This window comes from Homo sapiens, chromosome 12 (genome assembly GCF_000001405.40).
Source record: "Homo sapiens chromosome 12, GRCh38.p14 Primary Assembly".
NCBI lineage: Eukaryota > Metazoa > Chordata > Mammalia > Primates > Hominidae > Homo > Homo sapiens.
Genome location: NC_000012.12, coordinates 13255491 through 13265940, shown reverse-complemented (window position 1 = coordinate 13265940; position 10450 = coordinate 13255491). Strand labels below are relative to the sequence as shown.

Sequence of the window (10450 nt, the reverse complement as noted above, 5' to 3'; positions counted from 1 at the left end):
ACAGACTTTGAACTTTTGCAGACATTCTATTCAATTTTAAAATAATTTTTTGTTAATTCCCAGTAGATTTCCACTGACAGTGAAATCAACCACAATTTGGGAGGCCTCTGGTGGCTACAGTGGTAAAAGATAAAAGCAATTATAAGTCTGTGTGTGTTTGCTCAGCTAAATGAAATGCGCTTTTATTCATGCATGTGGGGCTATGCAGATTTTCCAAGAAACGGGGACCCTCGTTACGCTGTGAACCCCAGCAAGTGTCAGAGTTTGGGGCCTTATCAAGGTCTTGCTGGGAGCCACAGAGAACTCATGGTGCGCTTTTCTGGGTTGGAAGTGGTCAAAACAACACCCACAGAAATCCAAGGGCGAGAAAATCTCTGCAAAGGCCAAATAACTACAAGTCTTATATTCTAGAGGTAGTAATTGTCAGGCCTCTGAGCCCAAGCTAAGCCATCATATCCCCTGTGACCTGCATGTACACACCCAGATGGCTGGTTCCTGCCTTAACTGATGACATTCCACCACAAAAGAAGTGAAAACGGCCTGTTCCTGCCTTAACTGATGACATTGTCTTGTGAAATTCCTTCTCCTGGCTCATCCTGGCTCAAAAGCTCCCCTACTGAGCACCTTGTGACCCCCAATCCTGCCCACCAGAGAACAACCCCCCTTTTTCCTTTACCTACCCAAATTCTATAAAATGGCCCCACCCCTATCTCCCTTTGCTGACTCTCTTTTTGGACTCAGCCCACCTGCACCCAGGTGATTAAAAGCTTTATTGCTCACACAAAGCCTGTTTGGTGGTCTCTTTACACAGACGCGCATGAAATTTGGTGCCGTGACTCAGATCGGGGGACCTCCCTTGGGAGATCAATCCCCTGTCCTCCTGCTCTTTGCTCTGTGAGAAAGATCCACCTACGACCTCAGGTCCTCAGACCGACCAGCCCAAGAAACATCTCACCAATTTCAAATCTGGTAAGCGGCCTCTTTTTACTCTCTTCTCCAACCTCCCTCACTATCCCTCAACCTCTTTCTCCTTTCAATCTTGGCGCCACACTTCAATCTCTCCCTTCTCTTAATTTCAATTCCTTTCATTTTCTGGTAGAGACAAAGGAGACATGTTTTATCCGTGGACCCAAAACTCCGGCGCGGGTCACGGACTGGGAAGGCAGCCTTCCCTTGGTGTTTAGTCATTCCAGGGATGCCTCTCTGATTATTCACCCATGTTTCAGAGGTGTCAGACCACGCAGGGACGCCTGCCTTCGTCCTTCACCCTTAGCGGCAAGTCCCACTTTTCTAGGGGGCAAGAACCCCCAATCCCTTATTTCCACACCCCAACCTTTTATCTCTGCACCCTGATCCCTTATTTCCATGGCCTGACCTCTTATCTCTGCACCCCAACCCCTTATTTCCATGCCCCAACCCGTTTCCTGCTTTTCTGGAGGGTAAGAACTCCCGAACCCCTTCCCTCCATGTCTCTACCCTTCTCTTTAAACCTGCCTCCTTCACTATAGGCAACCTTCCACCTTCCATTCCTCCTTCTTCTCCCTTAGCCTGTGTTCTTAAGAACTTAAAACCTCTTCAACTCTCACCTGACCTAAAATCTAAGCTTCTTACTTTCTTCTGAAATGCTGTTTGACCCAATACAAACTCGACAGTAGTTCCAAATAGCCAGAAAACGGCACTTTCAATTTTTCCATCCTACAAGATCTAAATAATTCTTGTCGTGAAATGGGCAAATGGTCTGAGGTGCCTGACGTCCAGGCATTCTTTTACACATCAGGCCCTCCCTAGTCTCTGTTCCCAATGCAACTCATCCCAAATCTTCCTTCTTTCCCTCCCACCTGTCCCCTCAGTCCCAACCCCAAGTGTTGCTGAGTCTTTCTAATCTTCCTTTTCTACAGACCTATCTGACCTCTCCCCTCCTTGCCAGGCCAAGCTAAGTCCCATTTCTTCCTCAGCCTCCGCTCCACCACCCTATAATCCTTTTATCACCTCCCCTCCTCACACGCAGTCCGGCTTACAGTTTCATTCTGTGACTAGCCCTCCCCCACCTGCCCAGCAATTTCCTCTTAAAAACGTGGCTGGAGCTAAAGGCATAGTCAAGGTTAATGTTCCTTTTTCTTTATCCCAAATCAGATAGCGTTTAGGCTCTTTTTCATCAAATATAAAAACCCAGCCCAGTTCATGGCTCGTTTGGCAGCAACCCTGAGACGCTTTACAGCCCTAGACCCTAAGAGGTCAAAAGGCCGTCTTACACTCAATATACATTTTATTACCCAATCTGCTCCCGACATTAAATAAAACTCCAAAAATTAAATTCCGGCCCTCAAACTCCACAACAGGACTTAATTAACCTCACCTTCAAGGTGTACAATAATAGAAAAAAGTTGCAATTCCTTGCCTCCACTGTGAGACAAACCCCAGTCATATCTCCAGCACACAAGAACTTCCAAACACCTAAACTGCAGTGGCCAGGCATTCCTCCAGAACCTCCTCCCCCAGGAGCTTGCTACAAGTGCCAAAAATCTGGCCACCAAGCCAAGGAATGCCCGCAGCCTGGGATTCCTCCTAAATGTCCTATCTGTGCTGGACCCTACTGGAAATCGGACTATTCAACTCACCTGGCAGCCACTCCCAGAGCCCCTGGAACTCTGGCCCAAGGCTCTCTGGCTGACTACTTCCCAGATCTTCTTGGCTTAGCAGCTGAAGACTGACACTGCCCGATTGCCTCGGAAGCCCCCTAGACCATCACGGATGCCCAGCTTCGGTTAACTCTCACAGTGGAGGGTAAGTCCGTCCCCTTCTTAATCAATACAGAGGCTACCCACTCCGCATTACCTTCTTTTCAAGGGCCTGTTTCCCTTGCTTCCATAACTGTTGTGCGTATTGACAGCCAGGCTTCTAAACCTCTTAAAACTCCCCAACTCTGGTGCCAACTTAGACAATACTCCTTTAAGCACTCCTTTTTAGTTATCCCCACCTGCCCAGTTCCCTTATTAGGCCGAGACACTTTAGCTAAATTATCTGCTTCCCTGACTATTCCTGGACTACAGCTACATCTCATTGCCGCCCTTCTTCCCAATCCAAAGCCTCCTTTGCGTCCTCCTCTTGTATCCCCCCACCTTAACCCACAAGTATAAGATACCTCTACTCCCTCCCTGGTGACCGATCATGCACCCCTTACCATCTCATTAAAACCTAATCACCCTTACCCCACTCAATGCCAATATCCCATCCCACACCATGCTTTGAAAGGATTAAAGCCTGTTATCACTTGCCTGCTACACCATGGCCTTTTAAAGCCTATAAACTCAACTCTCCTTACAAATCCCCCATTTTACCTGTCCTAAAACCAGATAAGCCTTACAAGTTAGTTCAGGATCTATGCCTTATCAACCAAATTGTTTTGCCTATCCACCCTGCAGTGCCCAACCCGAACACTCTTTTGTCCTCAATAGCTTCCTCCACAACTCACTATTCTGTTCTTGATCTTAAAGATGCTTTTTTCACTATTCCCCTGTACCCCTAGTCCCAGCCTCTCTTTGCTTTCACCTGGACTGACCCTGACACCCATCAGTGCCAGCAGCTTGCCTGGGCTGTGCGGCCATAAGGCTTCAGGGACGGCCCTCATTACTTCAGCCAAGCTCTTTCTCATGATTTACTTTCTTTCCACCCCTCCGCTTCTCACCTTATTCAATATATTGATGACCTTCTTCTTTGTAGCCCCTCCTTTGAATCTTCTCAACGAGACACACTTCTGCTCCTTCAGCATCTATTCTCCAAAGGATATCGGGTATCTCCCTCCAAAGCTCAAATTTCTTCTCCATCCATTACCTACCTCGGCATAATTCTGCATAAAAACACACATGCCCTCCCTGCTGATCGTGTCCCACTAATCTCTCAAACCCCAACCCCTTCTACAAAACAACAACTCCTTTCCTTCCTGGGCATGGTTGGATACTTTCGCCTTTGGATACCTGGTTTTGCCATCCTAAAAAAACCATTATGTAAACTCACAAAAGGAAACCTAGCTGACCCCATAGATCCTAAATCCTTTCCTCACTCCTCTTTCCGTTCCTTGAAGACAGCTTTAGAGACTGCCCCCATCCTAGCTCTCCCTGACTCATCCCAACCCTCTTCATTACACACAGCCGAAGTGCAGGGCTGTGCAGTTGGAATTCTTACACAAGGACCAGGATCGCATCCTGTAGCCTTTTTGTCCAAACAACTTGAACTTACTGTTTTAGGCTGGCCATCATGTCTCCGTGCAGTGGCTGCTACCGCCCTAATACTTTTAGAGGCCCTTAAAATCACAAACTATCCTCAACTCACTCTCTACGGCTCTCATAATTTCCAAAATCTATTTTCTTCCTCACACCTGACACATATACTTTCTGCTCTCCGGCTCCTTCAGCTGTACTCACTCTTTGTTAAGTCCCATAATTACCATTGTTCCTGGCCTGGACTTCAATCCAGCCTCCCACATTATTCCTGATACCACACCTGACCCTCATGACTGCATCTCTCTGATCCAAATGACGTTCACCCCATTTCCCCACATTTCCTTCTTCCCTGTTCCTCACCCTTATCACGCTTAGTTTATTGATGGCAGTTCCACCAGGCCTAATCGCCACGCACCAGCAAAGGCAGGCTATGCTATAGTACAAGCCACTAGCCCGCCTCTTAGAACCTCTCATTTCCTTTCCATCGTGGAAATCTATCCTAAAAGAAATAACTTATCAGTGTTTCATCTGCTATTCTACTACTTCTCAGGGATTATTCAGGACCCCTCCCTTCCCTACACATTAAGCTCAGGGATTTGCCCCCACCCAGGACTGGCAAATTAGCTTTACTTAACATGCCCCAAGTCAGGAAACTAAAATACCTCTTGGTCTAGGTAGACACTTTCACTGGATAGGTAGAGGCCTTTCCCACAGGGTCTAAGAAGGCCAACATGGCCATTTCTTCCCTTCTGTCAGACATAATTCCTCGGTTTGGCCTTCCCACCTCTATACAGTCCGATAGCAGACCAGCCTTTATTAGTCAAATCAGCCAAGCATTTTTTCAGGCTCTTAGTATTCAGTGAAACCTTTATATCGCTTACAGTCCTCAGTCTTCAGGAAAGGTAGAACAGACTAATGGTCTTTTAAAAACACACCTCACCAAGCTCAGCCACCAACTTAAAAAGGACTGGACAATACTTTTACCACTTTCCCTTCTCAGAATTCAGACCTGTCCTCAGAATGCTACAAGGTACAGCCCATTTGGGCTCCTGTATAGACGCTCCTTTTTATTAGGCCCTGCTCTCATTCCAGACAGCAGACCAACTTGGACTGTGCCCCAAAAAACTTGTCATCCCTACTATCTTCTGTCTAGTCATACTCCTATTCACCGTTCTCAACTACTCATACATGCCCTGCTCTTGTTTACACTGCCGGTTTGCACTGTTTCTCTAAGCCATCACAGCTGATATCTCCTGGTGCTATCCCCAAACTGCCACTCTTAACTTTTAAAGTAAATAAATAATCTTTGCTGGCAAGGCTATGCTGAACCTCCTTAGGCACTCTCTAATTAAATGTCCTAGGTCCTCCAAATTCTTAGACCTTTAATACCTGTTTTTCTCCTTATCTTACTCCGTTTTTCAATTCATACAAAACCGTATCCAGGCCATCACCAATAATTCTAAATGACAAATGTTTCTTCTAACAACCCCACAATATCACCCCTTACCACAAAATCTTCCTTCAGCTTAATCTCTCCCACTCTAAGTTCCCACACCGCCCCTAATCCCACTCGAAGCAGCCCTGAGAAACATCGCCCATTATCTCTCCATACCACCCCCAAAAACTTTTCACTGTCCCAACACTTTACCACTATTTCATTTTATTTTTCTTATTAATATAAGAAGACAGGAATGTCAGGCCTCTGAGCCCAAGCTAAGCCATCATATCCCCGTGACCTGCACGTACACATCCAGATGGCCAGTTCCTGCCTTAACTGATGACATTCCACCACAAAAGAAGTGAAAATGGCCTGTTCTTACCTTAACTGATGACATTGTCTTGTGAAATTCCTTCTCCTGGCTCATCCTGCCTCAAAAGTTCCCCTACTGAGCACCTTGTGACCCCCACTCCTGCCCACCAAAGAACAACCCCCCTCCTTCCTTTACCTACCCAAATCCTATAAAACCCCATCTCCCTTCGCTGACTCTCTTTTTGGACTCAGCCCGCCTGCACCCAGGTGATTAAAAGCTTTATTGCTCACACAAAGCTTGTTTGGTGGTCTCTTCACACGGACGCGCATGAAAGTAATGTATTCCAGTTCTGGCTTATATACTAAATAGATAGCAAGTTGCACACTAAAATAACTAAATAAAAGAATTTTGGTGTCTTTCCCCCCAGCACGATCAGAATGCTCAGCCTCCCAAGAAACTTGCCAGGTGTGACTGTTTATTCACATAACTCACCCCAGGGCATAATTGTAGAGCAGAGCAATGATGAATGACTAGGAGAGAACAAATAGAATATAATAATAATTCTACCCTGGATTTAAATAATGCTTTTTCCTTCCCAGAGCGCTAAGTGCTTTCACATAGATTAGAAGGTAAGGGTGGATATTATTATCCCCGTTTGTAGATAAGGACATAGAGTCAGAGAGGTAAGCTGTTTGTCCAAAGACTTACAATAAAAGCCTATTAGAGGTGAATGATCACCTTTGACACTATGTATGCAACCCTCTCATTTTTCAGATGAAGAAGCTCAAGTCGGGATGGTGATGTGGCTTTCCCAAGACCGCATCATTAGCGGCCAAATAATAACATACCTAGCCCTTCCTGGAGTGGAAGACAAACCCCAAAGGCCCTGACAACTTGGGATATAAGCCGTTCCCATCTGCGAGTCCTGCTTTTCCAGGAACACAGCACCACTACTGAGACTTCCCACCCTGCGATTCAAAAGTCTTGCCTCCTCAGGACCAGCAAAGTCATGGCCAGAGATAACATCTGCTTATAGAATCCCAGGGAGTTTTATTGACTTCACAAGAAAGATAAGCAGCACAATGGCTCACACACTCACAGGAGAGTAAACTTTCTCACAATTCATAGAAATCCCCTCTCTATATTATAACAGTGCTCAAATTTCCTGCCCAACTCCCCCTCCTCATCTTCATCATAGTTGCCCACATCCCATAATAGTAAGAGGGGGTTTTACCAAGAGTATGGAAATAGCATTTGTGGGTGCTTGCCCTCAAGAATTCTCTCCCCTGAGGGTGTCACCCTCTTTCCTCGGCTTTGATATACGGTGATATGCAGCCCCAGGCAACCGGCCCCAGCAGGCTCTGGGACTCCCCATTTGGTTTGGCTCCAAGGGCATGTCTGGTGAGGTACCACGCAGCAGTGGTCAGGGCACTGCTCCTGGGCTCTTGGGCTGTAAGGCCAGAGCAACAGCTTTCAGAGGTGAGAAAGTCATAGGCCAAGGAAGAACAGGCGATGTGCTACAAGAGGAAGGAGGGAGGCTGTGGCGCCTTCTCTCTGGGCAGCTGCTGTCTGAACAGCAGACAGGGGTTTAAACATAGGCTATAGCCACACAGAGCCCATCCCTCCCCCTGCCTCTCATTCTCCTGGCCAGGCAGTCTTGGCTTCACTCTCTTTCTTAATCTCCCCCAGCTGCAGACTGCCTCTTCCTGCCCTGGAGCAACTGCCTCCATCTCTGGCAAGCCCCTACCATCAAGAAAGGTGGGAAACACTTGCCCTCCCTGTCCCCAGCCCCTTGCCCAGTCACCCTCACTTACAACCCCTTTATTTAGCCAAAACCCATTTCCCCTGCTTATAAGAAAAGGGAGGGGTGTTTCTGAGATTACACACCAGGCCCTTCCTCTCAGATATAAATGTTCTTCCCAAGATCCCAAATCTTTACATCAAGAATAGATCCAGCTTAGCAGAAATGGGGACGATAAAGGATTTCAGTTCTAAATCACAGTATGTTCTAAGACACAAGGGCATGCATGACATCACCAATAATTCAGATATTAGATAAATATTTGCCAGACAAGAGCCACTGTCCTGAGGAACAAAGGGGAAGAGGAATGATATGAGGCATGGAGTTTGTCACTGAATTTATTTCCCTCTTTCACTGGTGCTCAGTTCAGCCCACCCCAGTTGTATACCTATGTTCCCCCTTAAGCCCCCTCAATAGGCTGTTTTTCACACCTCCGAAGATATTCGGCTTTATGGGGTGCCCTTGAGGCTTTGAGGTTCAGTGACAGCTGCAACTGTTGTGCCCAGATCTCCCCCTCATATCCTGGTCCTCAGCTCTGGGTTTCTTAGGAAATTCACTTCCAGGCAGGGAGTTCCCCAGACCTCTGCTTTTCCTTCCTCTCCCTCCTGCGTCCACACTGAGGCTATTTCACTGCTTATCAGCACTTCAGATGGGGGATATGAAGGAGTCAGTGTGAAAATCTGATTAGTCATTTTGGCTATTTTTTCTGGAAGCTGTAGTAAAAGATGGGTTGCAAAAGAAAGAAAAGCTATTAGCTATTGAAATCTGTGTGTTTCAATTAACCTTATCCCTCACAGATAATTGAGAATTGACAATAATGTTAGTTTCTTTGCAACCTTCTTTAAAAAATTTTTTTTTCATTTCTGATACCATCTTCACGTGGCGTTGACCAAGGCCCATAAACAATTTGTGCCTTCTTGGTCAGCACCAAGAGCTCAAAGCTTGGCAAGTGAGCCCACGACGGAAGAACTCAAAGGCCTCAGGGGCCCCGGGGCAGTGAAGGTCACCTTCTCCTCCCTCCACTGTGTTCTCTTTGTGCCCAAGTGTGCCAACATGGGTGCCAGGTTATTCCAGCCTGCCAGTTCCCACTCCTCCTGCCCAGGTTCATGCTGCGCCCCCTCCACCAGCTCAGACTGGCCTCTCTTGCCTCTGAGCACACCTTACCCTCCACAGCTCTTAACTGCTTTCTTCCTTCTGGGTCCCTGCCTGATACCTGATGCGTTTCCAAAACCCAGATCCCCAAGGTTTATCTCAAGTCCAGGAGCACCTCAAAGACCTCATGGCAAAGCCAGGTAGAATTGCTCAGCACCCTCCACCACAACCTCACCCAGTCCTCTGGGTGAATAATATGGGCACGCCTGGTTGCTCCCAGAGCCTAAATAGGCACGGAAGGCAAGGAGGGCGGCAGCCATGTGTCCTGGGACCAGGCCCACTTGGCTTCCAACAACTGCTTAGCTCTGTCCACAAGTTAAGTCAGCCTCAGTTTCCTCTTCAGTAAAATTTTGAGACTGAAAATAGAATCTACTTCCTAGATTTATTTTGAAACCTAAATGAGTTGATGAAGGTAAAGTACTTGGCACAGGGCCAGGCAGGAAATCAGTTCTGGGTGTGCAATGATGACCACCACCGTTAGCAACGTCCCCACAGTCCCAGGCAGCCTGGGCCAGCTCTAGGAGGGCCTCTGGTGCTACACTCCGCTGGAAGAGCCCCAAGGCTGAGAGGCTTCTACCTAGGTGCTTTTTTGGGATTTTTAGTAAAACATCGCTTACAGTTTTTATACAGATTCCCCTCTCTCCCCTGCAAGATGCAGAGCTGTGTTCCAGGGGGTCATGAGCCACTTCCTGGCTATTCGCACAATGAGCACTCAGTGATCCAGGCCCCAGCTGCTCCTGGTCTAGCTCGGTAGCAGCTCCATCTTCCCATGGGATGAATTCCTCCCTGGAGGATCCTCCATTCTTATGCAAATAGCTACTGGGAGCTCTGGCTCCTCGAGTTTTTTGACGTTCCCAAACAAGTCTGAATGCACTTAAGACAGAAAGCGGGTGTCTCCTCCCACCTTAATTACAATTAGAATGAAATTATGTTCACTTCAAAATTAACATTTCACACTTTTGCAACCATCAGAACTCCGACCACTGCCACCGTTCGGGTCCTCCCTCCCCTTCTCCTCCCTGCCGCCTCCTCTCCCTTTGTCCCGTGACTCAGCTCCCTGCTTCCCTGCCCTGACTTCCCCTACCCTTCCAGGTTTTGCAGGCAGCGCCATCTGCTGGACGCAGGCTCAGCTGCACCTTCCTCCTCCCGGCGAGGCAAGGGGGTGCCAGGAGCTGGCCTAGGATAGATGGCTCCTCCCCCACTGGTAACACTGCACTTGCTGGGTAATTCTGCCGCAGTTCTGCAGTGGTTTATATTTTATATTCAAAAAAAAAAAAAACAACAAGGCGAACATTGTAAGAGAAGAGTGAAGGGCCGAAGATAAACAAGACCTATAAATTAGGGAAAATAAATTCAATCTTAGACAGTTTTTTGCCTTAGAAATGTGAAGTGTTAGCAGTGATGACTGCACGTTTACACTTCTTTTTTCATCTTTTTTTTCTTTTAAGTAACCTTTCGTGAGAAAGTGTCAGCTTTATAATTTTATATAATAGTAAACCTTTTGCCTTGGTATAAAAATAATTAGA

General features: G+C 47.0%; 4 annotated features.

The window, feature by feature from the left end:
• Nucleotides 290-864: an enhancer, noted in NCBI's record as "OCT4-NANOG-H3K27ac hESC enhancer chr12:13418011-13418585 (GRCh37/hg19 assembly coordinates)". NCBI's record gives its function as "activates a minimal SCP1, AML or CMV promoter by ChIP-STARR-seq in naive and primed H9 embryonic stem cells {active_cell/tissue: H9 hESC(naive and primed)}" and the evidence as "EXISTENCE:reporter gene assay evidence [ECO:0000049][PMID:30033119]".
• Nucleotides 865-1440: an enhancer, noted in NCBI's record as "NANOG-H3K27ac hESC enhancer chr12:13417435-13418010 (GRCh37/hg19 assembly coordinates)". NCBI's record gives its function as "activates a minimal SCP1, AML or CMV promoter by ChIP-STARR-seq in naive and primed H9 embryonic stem cells {active_cell/tissue: H9 hESC(naive and primed)}" and the evidence as "EXISTENCE:reporter gene assay evidence [ECO:0000049][PMID:30033119]".
• Nucleotides 8306-9172: an enhancer, noted in NCBI's record as "H3K27ac-H3K4me1 hESC enhancer chr12:13409703-13410569 (GRCh37/hg19 assembly coordinates)". NCBI's record gives its function as "activates a minimal SCP1, AML or CMV promoter by ChIP-STARR-seq in primed H9 embryonic stem cells {active_cell/tissue: H9 hESC(primed)}" and the evidence as "EXISTENCE:reporter gene assay evidence [ECO:0000049][PMID:30033119]".
• Nucleotides 9892-10186: an enhancer, noted in NCBI's record as "tiled region #3500; HepG2 Activating DNase matched - State 12:CtcfO, and K562 Activating DNase unmatched - State 8:EnhW". NCBI's record gives its function as "activates a minimal TATA promoter and a strong SV40 promoter by Sharpr-MPRA in HepG2 and K562 cells {active_cell/tissue: HepG2 | K562}" and the evidence as "EXISTENCE:reporter gene assay evidence [ECO:0000049][PMID:27701403]".